Genomic DNA, 17,496 nt, shown 5'->3' on the forward strand with positions numbered 1-17,496 from the left:
AATCACAATGGTGGTTCTTTCTGCATGGCCAGCCTCCATCCTGAGTTATCTCATTAGCAAAAACTATCTAGGGGCTCACCATGAGTCACCTGGTTAGCATAAACTATCCAAAGGACCCACAGTGAATAGTAAAGACACTGCTATCACTCAGAACATTCCAGAGGTTTAGAGGTTAACTTCCAGGAGCTGGGACAAAAGCCAGACCTCTCTTTGGGTAAAGTTAATTATTCACTACACAAGGAGGTTGAGAATCTTCAAAACCTTCAAGTACTATCTCCTTCATGTTTAACATTTCTTCCTTTAGGAGAAATATTTTTTTATCTCTCTCTCTTCTTGCCTTTTACTATAAGTAACAAGATGAAATCAGGCAGCCCCTTCAACACTCTGGCTGGGAATCTTAGCTGGATCACCTCGTGTATTTGTTATATTTTCTACTTTCCACATAACTGCAGGCAACAGTGTTGCTAAACTTTCAGCCACTACAGGACAAAAATTCTCTTTCCTCTGGTTTCCAGTGATATGTTTCTCACTTCTCTCTAAGCCCTCACTGAGTCTTCTCAATGTTCAGATTTTGACCAATGGTTTCTTTGAGGCATTTAGGTTTGTTTTTTTTTTTGAGACAGTATTTCACTCTGTCACTCAGGCTGGACTGCGATGGTGTGATCATGCTCACTGCAACCTCAAACTCCTGGGCTGAAACAATCCTCCCACCTCAGCCTCCTGAGTAATTAGAACTACAGGCATGGGCCACCATACCTGGCTAATTTTTTTCCTTTTTTGTGTAGGTGGGGGTCTCACTATGTTACCCAGACTGGTCTCTAATTTCTAGCCTCAAGTGATGCTCCCGACTCAGCCTCCTAAAAGCTCTGGGATTACAGGTGTGAGCTACCATGCTTCTGACCCAGTTTAGGATTTCTCTAACATGTTCTTCAGGGAGTCCTTATACCCATTTTACAGATGAGGAAACTGAAGCTCAGACTGTTGACCACAGGCACAGAACTCAGAAGTGATGGTGCTGGGACTTCAGCCAAGGTCCACCCAAGTCCAAGGCTCATCCTCTTACCTCCCTCCTGCCCTCCGCAGGATGCTGATGCTCTGGATTTGGAGATGCTGGCCCCCTACATCTCCATGGATGATGACTTCCAGCTCAACGCCAGCGAGCAGCTACCCAGGGCCTACCACAGACCTCTGGGGGCTGTCCCCCGGCCCCGTGCTCGGAGCTTCCATGGCCTGTCACCTCCAGCCCTTGAGCCCTCCCTGCTACCCCGCTGGGGGAGTGACCCCCGGCTGAGCTGCTCCAGCCCTTCCAGAGGGGACCCCTCAGCATCCTCTCCCATGGCTGGGGCTCGGAAGAGGTGAGCCACAGTAAAGGGGGGACATCAAGGCAGCATCCCCTCACCCCGTCTTGCCCCTGCCTCCTGCTTCAGCCTCATCCCTCACCATTTCTCTAACCCTGATCTCTGCTCCAGCCAGGCCCTCGGTGGGCCCAGCACATGCCAAGTTTGTGCCAATCTCTGTGCCTTTGCCTAGGCTGTACACCCCTTCTGGAGTGCCCTCCACTGCTCTCACTGTTTATCCAAATCCCACCTGTCAACCAGGGCTCTCTCCTTTGGAACATAGTTATATCTGATCTGGTGACAATTTTTGTCAGAGTTTAGAAGACATTGCCGTGTGTCAGAGAAACTATCTAAGCCGGGTGTGGTGGTGCATGCCTGTAGTCCTAGCTACTTGGGAGGCTGAGGTGGGAGGATCTCTTGAGCCCAGGAGATCGAGGCTGCAGCGAGCTGTGCTTGTGCCACTGCACTCCAGCCTGGGCAATGGTGAGACCCTGTCAAGAAAAAAAAAAAAAAAAAGATAGAGAGAGAGAGAGAGAGTGAAGAGAGAGGAAGGAAGGGAGGAAGGAAAGAAGAAGGAAGGAAGGGAAGGAGGGAGGGAGGGAGGGAAGGAATGGAAAAAAGAAAAGAAACTGTCTAGAACTAAATTGCAAGCATGTGCTCATTTCGAATCCAGAGTGGTCTTATCCTTATGGATACATCTTGGTATCTCCCAAGGCTCCCAGCTTGGTACTGGCTATAAAGTGGGCCTGATAAATACTTATTAAATGAGGGAGGGAGGGAATTATTAATGAATATAGTTGGCACTTTAATGGGTGGACAGGTGGATGGATGCATAGGTCGATGGAAGGACAGATGGATGGATGTGTAGGTGAAAGGGTGTATGTATGTATGTGTGTATGTCTGGACGGATGGATGGATGAATGATGGATGTCTGGGTAGACAGAAGGATTGATGGATGGGTCAATGGATTGATGGGTGGCTGAAAGGAAGGATAGATGGTGGATGGATGGATGAATCGGATGGATGGAGGGATGGATGGATGGATGGATGGATGGATAGTTGGATGGATGGTGGATGGATGGCAGATGGATGGTGGATGGATGGTGGATGGATGGGTGGTTGGATTAATCAATGGATTAATGGATGGATGCATGGATGGTGGATGGATGGATGGATGGATGGTGGATGGTTGGCAGATGTATGGTGGATGGATGGCAGATGGATGGATGGATGAATCAATGGATTAATGGATGGATGGATGGTGGATGGCAGATGGATGGCAGATGGGATGGCAGATGGATGGATGGGTGGATCAGTGGATGGATGGATGGATGGATGGATGGATGGTGGATGGCTGGCAGACAGATGGTGGATGGATGGCAGATGGATGGATGGATGGATGGATGGGTGGTGGATGGCTGGGTGGAAGGATGGATGGATAGATGAAGGACAACTAGGTGGATAAATAGGTGGATGAATGGAAGGATAAATGGATGGAGGTTGGGTGGGTGGGTGATGGATCATTGGATGAATGAGAAGATGGATTGGTGGATGGATGGATGGACTGGTGGGTGTATGACTAAAGGAATAAATAGGTGCTCAGGGGAGTGAATGAATGCTCATCACCTGCTTACACTGTTATCCACACTTGCCCAGGTTTGCTGTGTCCTGAGATTCTTGCCTGTTTTCCTCCAGGACCCTGGCCCAGAGCTCAGAGGACGAGGACGAGGGAGTGGAGCTGCTGGGAGTGAGACCTCCCAAAAGGTCCCCCAGCCCAGAACACGAAAACTTTCTGCTCTTTCCTCTCAGCCTGGTGTGTTGGGGGATTAATGGGATTCTCTGGCCCTCATTACCTAGCTGGCTTAAACCTACTGTTTTATAGATAGGAAACCAGAGAGGGGCAGGGGCTGGTTGAGGGTCATACAGAAAGTCAGTGGGCCAGCTGAGACTAAAGCCTGATCTTCTAGTTTCACTAATGGGTATTAAAAACCTCTGCAGTGAACTGAGATTGCGCCACTGCACCCCAGCATGAGCGACAGAATGGGACCTTGTCAAAAAAAAAAAAAAAAAAAAAAAAAAAACTCTGCAAATACATGTAAGATGGCAGTAAGTCAGCTGGGCGCGGTTGCTCACGCATGTGATCCCAACACTTTGGGAGGCCGAGGCAGGTGGATCACCTGAGGTCGGGAGTTTGAGACCAGCCTGGCCAACATGGAGATACCCCGTCTCTACTAAAAATACAAAATTAGCCGGGCATGGTGGCGCATGCCTGTAATCCCAGCTACTCAGGAGGCTGAGGCAGAAGAATTGTTTGAACCCAGGAACAGAAGATTGCAGTGAGCTGAGATCGTGCCACTGCAGTCCAGTCTAGGCAACAAGAGTGAAACTCCGTCTCAAAAAAAAAAAAAAAAAAAGGCAATAAGTGCAAAGAAGGAAAAATTAAGCAGGCTAAGGGGAGAAATGGCATGTGGCTGGTATCTGCAGGGATCTTCTCTGCTCCCATGGGACCCCCTCCCCAAACTAGAACAGGTCTTGGCCTTGGATTACTAGTGCAGAGTTCAAAGTGCAGACACTAGAATCAGACTGACCTGGGTTCAAGTCCCAGGTCTGCCACCCAGTAACTGCCACCTGACCTTGGGCAGGTTACGTCACCACGTGGAGCCTCAGTTGCCTCATCCAGAAAGTGGGAATAGTTACATCTCACGGGACTGCCATGAGGATTAAAGGAAATTAGGCCCTTAGCTGACACTCAGTGGGCTGACCATAAATGGTGTACAAAAACAAACCAAAGGGCCGGGCGCTGTGGCTCACGCCTATATTCCTAGCACTTTGGGAGGCCGAGGTGGGTGGATCACCTGAGGTCAGGAGTTCGAGACCAGCCTGGGCAACATAGTAAGATGCTGTCTGTACAAAAAAAAAAAAATTAAAATTTAAGCGGGTGTGGTGGCATGTGCCTGTAGTCCCAGCTACTTAGGAGGCTGCGGTGAAAGCATCACCCGAGCCTGGGAGGTCAAGGCTGTAGTGAGCCATGATCGTGCCACTGCACTCCGGCCTAGATGACAGCACAAGACGCTGTCTCAAAAAAATAAAAATAAAAAAGCCAGCCTGGACTATGTCACTTCTGCAAGGCCTCCCTCTAGGACCTTTCATGGCCCTCTAGTGCTTACAGCAGTGCCCTGGTTCTTCACTCTGCAAAGGGTTGTTTGAATATGAGATGTGGTTGATAATATAACAGTTTACAGGCCAGACATAATGCCTCACGCCTGTAATCCCAGCACTTTGGGAGGATGAGGCGGGATAATCACTTGAAGTCTGGAGTTCAAGTCCAGCCTGGCCAACATGGTGAAACCCTGTCTCTACTAAAAATACAAACGTTAGCCGGGTGTAGGTGCACACCTATAGTGCCAGCTACTCGGAAGGCTAAGGCACAAGAATTGCTTGAACTCTGGAGGCAGAGGTTGCAGTGAGCCGAGATCGCGCCATTGCACTCCTGCCTGGAGGACAGGGTGAAACTCCCTCTCAGAAAAAAAAAAAAAACAACCTCTCTCTATATATATATATGTATATATGTGTGTATATATATGTATATATGTGTATATACATATATAACAGCTTACACTTATTAAGTGCCTACCATGTGCCAGACACTAACTGCACTAAATTCCTTGCATGATTAACTTATTTAATCCCCACAACTACTATTGAAATGTTCTTGTTACTGTTATACACACTTACACAGAAGAAGTTAAACAACTGTATCAGAGTCTGCACAGGAAAGGCAGCACACTCAGAGGGAGTGTTGAGGAGAATTTAATAACAGGACTGTTGAAAAAGGTGTTAACATAGTGTAGGGAAATCAGCAAGCCTGGTGCAGTACCTTGGGGCACAGCATGGGAAGTGGGCATCAGCCCTGGCCTGAAGGTGCAGGGCGGGGTGGTCACTGGATCCTGCAGCGAGTGGAGTCCAGCTAATGAGGGCTGAAACCTTCCATGGAGGGACACCGCCAACTCACAGAGAAGAATAAATACCCTACCTGCTGGTGTCTCCCATGAGCTAACCAACAGGATCACACGGAGCAAAGTTGCATGCTGTCACGGTCTCTGTGTACAGGTCCTCGGGCGAAGGAAGAAGGAGAAGGGGGATGAGGCCCTGGAGGAACACAAGTAGGATGACTGGACAGGGACTGACCCAAAGTCACACCACAAATGGGTGGCCACTGGACCTCAGCATCCCTTAACTACTGCACCATCTTGTCTTTGGATATATATTTTTTTCCTTCCTTTCTTTTTCTTTTCTTTTCTTTTCCTTTCCTTTCTTTTCTTTCTTTCTTTTTTTTTTTTTTTTTTTTTTGAGACAGAGTCTCACTCTGTCGCCCAGGCTGGAGTGCAGTGGCGCGATCTCGGCTCACTGCAAACTCCATCTCCCGGGTTCACGCCATTCTCCTGCCTCAGCCTCCCAAGTAGCTGGGACCACAGGCAGCTGCCACCACGCCTGGTTATTTTTTTTGTATTTTTAGTAGAGACAGGGTTTCACCGTGTTATCCAGGATGGTCTCAATCTCCTGACCTCGTGATCCGCCCAACTCGGCCTCCCAAAGTGCTGGGATTACAGGCGTGAGCCACCGCGCCCGGCCTCTTTTCTTTCTTTTTTGAGATGGAGTCTCACTCTGTCTACCAGGCTAGAGTGCAGTGGCACGATCTTGGCTCACTACAACCTCCTCCTCCCAGGTTGAAGCAATTCTCCTACCTCCGCCTCCCAAGTAGCTGGGATTACAGACATGCGCAACCACACCCTGCTAATTTTTGTATTTTTAGTAGAGATGGAGTTTCACCATGTTGGCCAGGCTGGTCTCGAACTCCTGACCTCGAATGATCCACCCATCTCAGCCTCCCAAAGTGCTGGGATTACAGGCGTGAGCCGCCATGCCCAGCTTATTTCATTTTTTAAATTTTTTTGTAGAGATAGGGTCTCATTATGTTGCCCAGGCTGATCTCAAACTCCTGACCTCAGGTGATCCTCCTACCTTGGCCTTCCAAAAGCACTAGAATTACAGGCATGAGCCACTGCACTTGCCCTTATTTTTATTTTACTTTTATTTTTATTTTTATTAGAGATAGGATCTCTGTCACCCAGACTGGAATGCAGTGACACGATCATAGCTCACTGCAACCTCAGCCTCCTGGTCTCAAGGGATCCTCTCACCTCAGCCTCCTAAGTAACTAAGATTACAGGCACATGCCATCACACCCAGCTAATTTTTAAATTTTTGTAGAGATGAGATCTCACTATCTTGCCCAGGCTGGTCTCAAACGTTTGGGCTTAAGTGATCCTCCCAATCCTCTGGCCTCAGCCCCCGAAAGTGCTGGGATTACAGTCACCACTCCCGGCTGTTCCTTGGATACTAATGATGATGATGATGGTGGTGGCTTTGTCTCTCTCCCACAGAGTTTCCTTCTGACAGGAGGACCAGCCCCAGGGAGCCTGCAGGACCCCAGCACCCCACTCCTGAACCTGAATGAGCCCCTGGGTGAGTAGCAACCTGGGTATCCAGAGCCCCAGAGCACCTTCTCCCCCGGGAGGTGCGAGAGGGATGGAGCCATTCCAAAGGTGCTGGGGGACTGTCAGTGCTTGGAGGTGACCTTGGTGGAAACGGCAGCTCCTGTCTCTTCTCTCTTCTCATGGGCACTGTGGAGGAGAGAGCCCCTAAGGGAGGCAGGGGCTCTCCAAGGCTGCCTTTTGGGGTGGAAGCCCGAGCCTAGGTCTCTGGAGCCTGCACGCCTATGATCACATTTATTTATTTATTTATTTATTTATTTATTTATTTTTTGAGATGAAGTCTCACTCTTGTCGCCCAGGCTGGAGTGCAGTGGCATGATCTCGGCTCACTGCAACCTCCGCCTCCCAGGTTCAAGTGGTTCTCCTGCCTCAGCCTCCCAAGTAGCTGGGATCACAGGTGTGTGCCACCACACCTGGCTAATTTTTGTATTTTTAGTAGAGATGAGGTTTCGCCATGTTGGCCAGGCTGGTCTCGAACTCCTGACCTCAGGTGATCTGCCTGCCTTGACCTCTCAATGTGCTGGAATTACAGGTGTGAGCCACTGCACCCAGCCTAAAAATTTTTTTTTAATTGGCTGGGCATGGTGGTGCATGCCTATAGTTCCAGCTACTCTGGAGGCTGAGGTGGGAGGGTCACTTGAGCCTGGGAGTTCAAGGCTGCAGTGAGCTATGATGGTGCCACTGCATTCCAGTCTGGGCAACACAGCGAGACCCTGTCTCAAATAAAAAAGAGTGCAAGAGGGCAGGGTGAGTGTTTCCTGCCTGTAATCACAGTGTTTTGGGAGGCTATGGAGGGGAGGATCACTTGAGACCAGGGGTTCGAGACCAGCCTGGGAAACATGGCAAAACCCCGTCTCTACAAAAAATTTTTAAAAACCTGGTGAGTGTGGTGGCACGCACCTGTTGTCCTAGTTACTTGGGAGGCTGAGACGGGAGGATTGCTTAAGCCCAGGAGTTCGAGGCTGCAGTGAGCTGTGACTGCACCACTGTACTCCAACCTGCGTGACAGGGCGAGATCCTGTCTCTATTTATTTATTTTCACATTTTTATTTTCTTTCTCTCTCTCTCTCTTTTTTTTTTTTTTTTTTTTTTTTTTGAGACAGAGTCTCGCTCTGCCACCCAGGCTGGAGTGCAGCCGTGCGATCTTGGCTCACTGCAGGCTCTGCCCCCAGGTTCACGCCATTCTCTGGCCTCAGCCTCCCGAGTAACTGGGACTACAGGCGCCCGCCACCTCGCCTGGCAAATTTTTTGTATTTTTAGTAGAGACAGGGTTTCACCATGTTAGCCAGGATGGTCTCAATCTCCTAACCTCATGATCCGCCCACCTCGGCCTCCCAGAGTGCTGGGATTACAGGCTTTCTCTTTTTTTTGAGAAGGGTCTCGCTCTGTCACTCAGGCTGGAGTGCAGTGGTGCACTGTCAGCTCACTGCAGCCTCTGTGTCCCCGGGCTCAAGCGATCCTCCCACCTCAGCCTCCCAAGTAGCTGGGACTGCAGGTGGGCACCAGCACACTTGACTTTGTGTGTTTGTGTGCGTGTGTGTGTGTGTGTTTAGTAGAGACAGAATTTCACCACGTTGCCCAGGCTGGTCTTGAACTCCTGAGCTCAAGCGATCCACTCATCTCAGTTTCCCAAAGTGCTGGGATTACAGGCGTGAGCCACCGCACCAGGCCCCTGTCTCTAAACAAACAGTCCAGGTGCAGTGGCTCATGCCTGGAATCCTAGCACTTTGGGAGGCTGAGGCAGGCGGACCACCTGAGGTGAGGAGTTCAAGACCAGCCTGGCCAACATGGTGAAACCCTGTCTCTACTAAAAATACAAAAATTAGCCAGGCACACTGGCAGGCGCCTGTAATCCCAACTACTCGGGAGGCTGAGACAGGAGAATCACTTGAGCCCAGGAGGCAGAGGTTGCAGTGAGCTGAGATCACGCCATTGTACTGCAGCCTGGGCAACACAGCAAGACTCTGTCTCAAAAAATATAAATATAAATATAAACAAATGAACAAAAAAGAGTGGGAGATGAAAATAAGTGTAACGGGGAAATAATGCATGCAAGGAAAAAGGTTTGGAGTAGGGGGATTTCAGTTTTAAACAGTATGATCAGGGTGGTTTCATTGAGAAGGTGATAGCTGAGCAAAGACCTGGAGTGAGTCCTGACGATATCGGGGGGAAGAGTGTCCCAGGCAGAGAGAACAGCAAGTGCAAAGGCCCTTAGGTGGGGACTGTATCTATCTTTTTTGGGGTGTGGGGGGACAGGGTGTGTCTTGCTCTGTTGCCCAGGCTGGAGCACAGTGGTGCGATCACAGCTCACTGCAGCCTTGAACTCCTGGGCTCAAGCGATCCTCCCATCTCAGTCTCCCAAGTAGCTGGGACTACACTTGTAGCTGGGACTACAAGTGCGCTTCATTACGTCTGGCTAATTTTTTAATTTCTGTAGAGAAAGAGGTCTTGCTATGTTGCTCAGGCTGGTCTCAAACTCCTGGGCTCAAGTGATCCTCCTGCCTCAGCCTTCCAAAGTGCTGAGATTGTGCCTGGCTGTCTCTGTCTTCTTTGGGGAAAAGCAAGGCCAATGTAGCTGAAGCAGAGAGGAGAGAAAGGTGAGGGCTGACTGCATGGAGCCTCTGTGGGGCATTGTGATGGCTTTGAAGTCACCTTGCTTGAGGAGGCTGCCTCAGGGCCTTTGCATATCCTGATCCTTCTGCCTGGCATACTTTTCCCTCTGTTCTTTGCCATGTTACCACATCCTTTAGATCTCAAACCAAATATTACTCCTTACACAAAGCCCTGCCTAACTTCATACGCTCATGGTTTATAACACTCCATAATTACACAGGCCTTTGTGTCATAATTTGATGACTGTCTGTCTTCTCCTTTGGGTATGAGACCTTCAAGGGCAGGGGCCAGGGCTGTCTGGGTCCCTGCTGTTCTCTTCTTTGTGCACATGGGTGGGCGGTGGCTAAGCACAGAGGAAGTTCTCAGCACATATTTGTGAATGAGGAGCTAAGATTCACGCACTCGCACTGTGCCTAGCTTTGTGCTAAATCCTCTATGCACCTGATCCAATTGGCGCTTCTCACTGGAGTGTCGGTCCCATAAGGGCAGGGAGATTCATCCATCCTGGTCACTGCTGTGTCTCTAGCACCTGGCACAGTGCCTGACACAAAGTAGGTGCTCAGTAAACATGTTGGGTTTTTTGTTGTTTTTGAGATAGGTTTTCACTTTGTCACCCAGTCTGGAGTGCAGTGGCACAAACACAGCTCACCGCAGCCTCGACCTCCTGGGCTCAAGTGATCCTCCTACTTCAGCTCCCACAAGTAGCTGGGACTGCAGCTATGTGCCATCATGCCTGGCTGATGTTTATATGTTTTGTAGAGACGAGGTTTCACCATGTTGCCCAGGCTGGTCTTGAACTCCTGAGTTCAAGCGATCCACCTGCCTTGGCCTCCCAAAGTGCTGGGATTACTGGTATGAACCACCACGCCCGACAGTAAATATGTTTTGAATGAATAAACTCTCATAAATGAAGTATGTGTGAGTATCCTGGTTTCCCAAGTAACAACAGCTGACTTAACTGCTTTCTCACCAGTACTAGTTATGGTTCAAAACACCTTCCATGGATTTACTCATTTATTCCTCACAACAGAGGAGTAAATCAAGAGGGAGGTGCTGTTATTAGCCCGTCTTACAGATGAGGGAACTGAGGCACAGAGAGATGAAGCCACCTGCCCCAGGTCACACAGCAAGTAAATAGCAATGCCTGGATTCAAACTAGGGCAGCATCTGACTCTGGACTCGGGTTCTTCACCGCAGCCCTGAACACCCCAGAGAGGTTCAGAGAGCAGAACGTGCCCAAGACGTCACTGCCGTTTGAATCCAGACAGGCTTGCCTCACCACCCAGGCTTTTAACTGCCAGGAAGGGGAGACGGGTTGGTGTGGGATATGATGAGGTTTCTCTTCAAATAACCCGATCAATCTTTTATTCTTTAATTGATAGTACCCCCCACCTTTTTCCCTTCTTCTCCTCTTTTCCTTTTTGCCTTTGTTAAATGCCCAGACACGCCACAATACCAGGCGTTATCAATACCAGCTCACATTCCTTTCCTTATTTAAAAAAAGGACTAACTTTCTAACTCATCACAGACACCCCTTCCCCTTTCCTCTCTGCTTTCTTTTACGTGTCCACCTTATCTAAAAAAAAATCAAATGTTTAGCCAACCGAAATTAGTTTAAATTGTATAACCCGACCCCAGCCAATAAAAAAAAAGTACAAAAACAAGACTTGCGTCAAAAATAAAGGCTCTTGTGCCCCTTTGTTCCAGTGTGCTCTCATGGCAACTAGCCAAAGAGGCACCCCTCTGCGCAAAAGTAAAATTACTAAAAATCCTTTGTTCGAGTGTTCAATTTCCTTAAGATTTTAAACATTATTCCTGACATTGGGGTTATGGTTGTCCTGTGATTTATCTTTCGTCTTTTACCTTTCATTTATCATTTATCTTTCATCTTTGCAGGCCTGGGCCCCTCACTGCTCTCTCCGTACTCAGACGAGGACACTACCCAGCCCGGGGGCCCCTTCCAGCCAAGGGCAGGCTCAGCCCAGGCTGACTGAGCCGGCTCCTCTCCCCATCTGCCTTCTCCTCCCCCAGAAAGGACCTCAACCACACTCCACGCCGGCAGCCAACGCACAGGATGGGGGCGCCAGGAGAGGGGCCCCTCTCTCCTCTATGTACCCCCTGCCCACCTCGGGCCTACCTCAGCCCTCACCCCTCTGCCTGCTCCCAATCTGGGGGCTCTCTGGGGTGGTCTCAGCTCAGTGACCTCTGGGAGGTGGTCCCTGGCCCCCTCCTCCTTCTCTCAGGATTTCTCTTGGGGTTCTCAATACTTGGTTACCTCATTATCCCTTTCTCTGCCTCTCTTGGCTTTATTTTGGGGAATCAGGGGTGAGGAGGGTTGGGGGGGTCATATCTGTGTTTCCAGGTTCTGGGGAGAACAATGATCCACGGGTCAACGTGATCACATTTCCTTCTATCCTTCTTGTATTATTATTTTTATTTTTGTCAATTTCATGATATGGTTTTTAATCATGATGAATTGCCTGGGGTCTGTAAGAATGTGGGACTCTGATCTTCCCCCTCTTCAGGTGTCAGTGCGGAGAGGCTCTGGGCCAGACCTCACCCCCAGTGACTTCCGATTGAGGCCAAAGACCCCAAGCTGCCCGCCAGCTCTGACTGCCCCTTGCGCTCTGGGCTTCCTGCCGCCCCCAGCTTTGCCTGGACACTGACTTCATTCATGGTCCTCCTACTTCAGGGGCAGCCTCCCAGTTCCTCTGCTTCCAAACTATGCAACCTCCAACCTGCTCCAGTTCCAGACTGTATAACCTCTGACCTGCACTGGTTCTAGACCACACAACCTCCAATGTGGTCTGCTTTAGATCACCTTCTTCTTCTTCCTTCTTCCTCTTCCTCTTCCTCCTGCTCCTCTTCCTCTTCTTCTTCTTTTTTTTTTTTGACAGAGTCTTGCTCTGTCACCCAGGCTGGAGTGCAGTGGCGCGATTTCAGCTTACTGCAGCCTCCGCGCCCTGGGTTCAAGTGATTCTCCTGCCTCAACTTCCCAAATAGCCGGGACTACGGGCATGTGCCACATTGCCCGGCTAATTTTTGTATTTTTAGTAGAGATGGGGTTTCACCACGTTGTCCAGTCTGGTCTCGAACTCCTGACCTCAAGTGCTCCACCTGCCTCAGCCTTCCAAAGTGCTGGGATTACAGGCGTGAGCCACTGCACCCGGCTAGAACTCACTTTCTCCAAATCCCTCTGCTTCGAATTTCACCGTCTTCAGCTCTTTCTAGTTCTGGGCCTCACCAGCCTCTCATTCTGCCTGTTTTCAAACCTTACGATCCCCAAAAATTGTCTGGTTCTGGGCCTCTAACTCCCTCTGGCTCTATAGTCTATGACTACCAGATTCTTTTGGTTCTAGAATTCACTAACTTCCTCTGGTTCTAGACCTCTTCCTATAAATTAATCCCTCTTGTTTTAGATCTCACACCCTCCAACGCCCTCCGGTTCCAGATCTTATATTCAGTGATTTCCTCTGGTTCTGGACCCCACAACTCCAAGCTTCCTATTGGTTCCAGTTCTCCTGATCGGTAATACATTTGGTTCCAAATCCAGACCTCTTAATCTCTCTCTTTTTTTTTTTTTTTTTTTGAGACAGAGTCCCACTCTGTCACCCAGGCTGGAGTACAGTGGCTCAATCTCGGCTCACTGCAGCCTCCACCTCCTGGGTTCAAGCAATTCTTGGGCCTCAGCCTCCCAAATAGCTGGGATTACAGGCATGTGCCACCACGCCCAGCTAAGTTTTATATTTTTAGTAGAGACAGTGTTTCACCATGTTGGCCAGGCTGGTCTTGAACTCCCGACCTCAACTGATCCACCCGCCTCAGCCTCCCAAAGTGCTGAAATTACAGGAGTGAGCCTGGCCAGACTTCTTAATTTCTAAATCACTTTTGTTTTAGACCTTATGAGGCTCAGCTTATTCTTCTGCAGTTCTCTATAACCAAGACTCATTTTCTCTCATCAAAAACAAGTACAGAGAGTTTGATGTGTTTATCTCTTTTTTCTTCCTCTTCTTTTTTTTTTTTTTCTTTTTTGAGATGGAGTCTCTCTCTGTTGCCCAGGCTGGAGTATAATGGTGCCATCTAGGCTCACTGCAACCTCCGCCTCCTGATTCAAGTGATTCTCCTGCCTCAGCCTCCTAAATTGGTGGGATTACAGGAGCCCACCACCACATCCGGCTACCTTTGTGTATTTTTTAGTAGAGACGGGGTTTTGCCAAGTTGGAGGGGCTGGTCTTGAACTCTTGACCTCAGATGATCCACCCGCCTCAGCCTCCCAAAGTGCTGGGATTACAGGCATAAGCCACCGTGCCCGACCCTGTCCTTATCTTATAATAACCAGTTCTTCTAGAACCAGACGATGCTCTAGTTCTCCTAGATTCTGAACCTCATGACCTGTACCACTCACTAGTTCCAGACTACACAACTTCTAGAAGGTGCCACCTCCAGGGTCCTGATTCAAGATCTGGTGATCTGCTGTTTCTCTGGTTCTAGAACTGACTTACAAGTGCCTTCTGATTCTAGACCTCATTCCGTAAGTTCCCTTGGCTCTAGACTTCATCATTTCCAGCTCCTCCTCACTCAAGATCTGACTCCAAATTACCCTGGGTCTAGAATTCAGCCTTCAAATATCTTCTGATTTTAGACTTTGCCTTATACATTTCTCTGGTTTTAGATCTTACCACCCTCAACTCCTTCTGATTCTAGATCTTATGGTTCCCAAATCTCTCTGGTTCTAGAACTCAGATTTTAGGCTTTTGTTTTTCCTTTTTTTTGTTAAAAAAAAAAAAATAGAGACGGGGTTTCACCATGTTGCCCAGGCTGGTCGCGAACTACTGAGCTCAAGCAATTCTCCCTCCTTGGCCTCACCAAAGTGCTGGGACTACAGGCATGAGCCACTGAGCCCAGCCAGGCTTTTTCTAATTCTATGCTTTATTCTATAAATTCCTCTGCTTCTAAGCCTCACAGCTTCCAACTGCCTTTGATTTCAGATCCAAATTCCTCTGATTCTATAATTCAGCCTCCAAATGCTTCTGATTCTGGAATCTAGACTTTTCCCTAAAGATTCCTCTGGTTCTGAATCTTATAACCTCAACTCCCTAATTCCAGACCCCAGCCTCCTAAATCTATTCTGGGCTTCCCACCCCACTGAACTTACCCAATTCCTTCTTTCAGTCTTAAGTTTTCCCATTCTAAACCCCTACCCTCTAGGCTGTGCTGCTCCTGGACTTCATGCCTCTCCATTCTCATTGCCTACAATCTCTGTGCCCCAGAACCCCCTCCACTTCCCACCCCAGCCCTCCAGACATGCACTTACCTTGACTTTACCCCACATGTTTGGGGCACCTGGGGCTCCCTCACCCCTTGGGTGGTTTGCAATCTGAAGACTTCTCCAGCCACACAGGCACATGCACAGGCACGGTGCTGTCTGCATATTGCCAGGTGGGGAGAGAAGCCAGGACCCCTCAGCTGTCTGCCACCATCTATGTGCCTCCCTTACCCCCCAGCTTTCTTTCTACAGATGGTGCTACTCTTGGTCTCCCACAGGAAAAGGCCTCCCCCCTTCTTAGCCCCATTTACCCCGTTTGTGGAAGGCACTGCTCGCTCTGTTTTGTCAGAGAGTGGCCTATCCAGATTGGTGCTATGGGGGGGTCTGACCCCTCCCTCCTCCCTCTGGAGGTGATGTGGGCCCTCAATGGAGGGAATTGTGCTGGGCTAGGGAAAGGGGAGGGACTAGACTGGCCACACTGGCTCTGAAACTCACCAATCTCTATACACCATAAAGACCTCACCTTGGTAGGCACCAGAGCTCTGCGTGTTGACTCATCTTTTGGATCTCCTCTGGGAGTGTGGGTGCACTGGTGGCTGAGTGTCTTTTTTTTTTTCCTTCCTTCCTTCCTTCCTTCCTTCCTTCCTTCCTTCCTTCCTTCCGCTCTCTCTCTTTCTTTTCTTTTTTTTTTTTTCTTGGAGTCTCACTCTGTTGCCCAGGCTGGAGTGCAGTGGCACAATCTCTGCTCACTGCAACCTCCACTACCCAGGTTCAAGCGATTCTCCTGCCTCCGTCTCCCAAGTAGCTGGGATTTCAGGCATGTGCCACCACACCCAGCTAATTTTTGTGTTTTTAATAGAGATGGGGTTTCACCACATTGGTCAGGCTGGTCTCGAACTCCTGAACTCAGGTAATCTGCCCGCCTCGGCCTCCCAAAGTGCTGGGATTGCAGGCATGAGCCACCATGCCAGGCCCTTTCTTTCTTTCGAGACAGGGTCTCACTATCTCACCCAAGCTGGAGTGCAGTGGTGTGATCACGGCTCACTGCAGCCTCCTGGGCTCAAGCAATCCTCCCATCTCACCCTTCCCGGTAGCTGGGACTACAGGTGCATGACACGAGGCCCAGCTAATTATTTTCATTTTTTTGTAGAGACAGAGCCTTACCATGTTGCCCAGGCTGGTCTCAAACTCCTGGGTTTAAGCGATCCTCCTGCCTCAGCCTCCCAAAGTTCTAGGATTATAGGCTTGAGCCACTGCACCAGCCCCATGTTACTTTCTGATTCTGTGTATCTGTATGTGTGTGTGTGTGTGCATGCACACGAGTGTGTGCACAGTGTCATTCTGTGTATGTGTATGGGTCTTTGTCACATTCTGTGAACCTGTGTTGCAGCAGGTGGGTGGGGTTGTGATTCCTTCTACAAGTGCATATTAGTATCTGGGTGAAGTGATTCTGCCTTATGTGTGTTTCTGGTTATTTTGGGTTTCTGTGTTTCTGAGTGTGGAAGGTGCTGTGATTTTTTTTTTTTTTTTTTGCCTATGTATGTCTGTATGATGTGATTCTGTGTACATGTGTGGGACTGCTTGATGCTATAATTCTGGGTACCAATGTGTGTGTGACATGATTGCCCATAGTTAAGTGAGCATGTGTGTGCAAGAGTGTGTGTCCATGGACTCATGTGCAGGTGGGTGTGTCTGTTGTCATGTACGTCACTCTCATAACCCCCCATACAGGGTTGCACATAGGAATCTCTTCAAGGGAAGAAAAACACTCTCAAGCCTTTGCACTTCCTATTCTTCTGCCTGAAATGCCTCTCTCCCTTCCCCTCTCCCCTCACTTGGTTACCTCCTACTCATATTTCACATCTTGGTTTAGGTAACAGCTACTCCAGGAAGCCTTCCCTGCCTGCTCCAATTGGGTAAAGTGCCCCTAAAAGCTCCCCTTGGAAGCCCCCTCCCATCACAGCACTAGGCACTCTGCCCAACTCTGAATATTTGTTTTGTTTTATTTGTTTTTTGAGACAGAGTCTCACTCTGTAGCCCAGGCTGTCGTGCAGTGGCGCGATCTCGGCTCACTGCAGCCTCCGCCTCCTAGGTTCAAGCAATTCTCCTGCCTCAACCTCCCTAATAACTGGGACTATAGGTGCGCACCATCATGCCCAGCTAAATTTTTGTATTTCTGGTAGTGACGGGGTTTTGCCATGTTGGCCAGGCTGGTCTTGAACTTCTGACCTCAAGTGATCTGCCTGCTTTGGCCTCCCAAAGTGCTTCGATTACAGGCATGAGCTACCATACCCAGCCCACTTTGAGTATTTGTGATGGAGTGAATATAAAAGTACTACTCTGTGTCAGGCTCCCTGACAAATGCTGTACTCATGTTGTCGAACTCTCCTCTAATCCTGTATGATGGGGATAATTATTATCCCCACTTTACAGAGGTTGAAACTGAGGCTTAGAAGAGGGTGATCACTTGCCCAAGGTCACAGTGTCAGGAAGGATTCCGCTGGACTCGAAACCAGAATTCAAATCCACTATGGCAGCTCCTTTTCCCCCAACCCCAAAACAAACAATACGAACAAACAAAAGAAAAATTTACTAACCCACCAAGATGGGCTCTGGCACCTACAGAGGCAGTAGAGTGGCAATGAAGGACATAGGAATTAGATGGGATTCCTGATCCTGGCTCTGTCACCTTCTTATGTTGTTGTGACCTTCGTCAAACACCTCT

General features: G+C 49.1%; 1 protein-coding gene across 21 annotated transcripts in view; it reads left to right on the forward strand.

The window, feature by feature from the left end:
* Nucleotides 1-15,310, forward strand: part of HIF3A (hypoxia inducible factor 3 subunit alpha) — a 46,392-nt gene extending 31,082 nt beyond the window's left edge. For 6 of the 21 annotated variants that reach the window (XM_017027132.2, XM_047439216.1, XM_017027134.2 and 3 more), the window contains 4 exons: nucleotides 958-1,355; nucleotides 3,033-3,150; nucleotides 6,782-6,863; nucleotides 11,402-15,310. In XM_017027132.2, coding sequence (XP_016882621.1) covers nucleotides 958-1,355; nucleotides 3,033-3,150; nucleotides 6,782-6,863; nucleotides 11,402-11,499 — 696 coding nt within the window. In that variant the 3' untranslated portion in view covers nucleotides 11,500-15,310. Of the gene's footprint in view, nucleotides 1-957; nucleotides 1,356-3,032; nucleotides 3,151-6,781; nucleotides 6,864-10,103; nucleotides 10,418-11,401 lie in introns of those variants that run through there. The other 15 variants (XM_005259152.5, NM_152795.4, XM_047439217.1 and 12 more) reach the window with 5 other exon arrangements.

Source organism: Homo sapiens, chromosome 19, assembly GCF_000001405.40.
Source record: "Homo sapiens chromosome 19, GRCh38.p14 Primary Assembly".
Taxonomy (NCBI): Eukaryota; Metazoa; Chordata; class Mammalia; order Primates; family Hominidae; genus Homo; species Homo sapiens.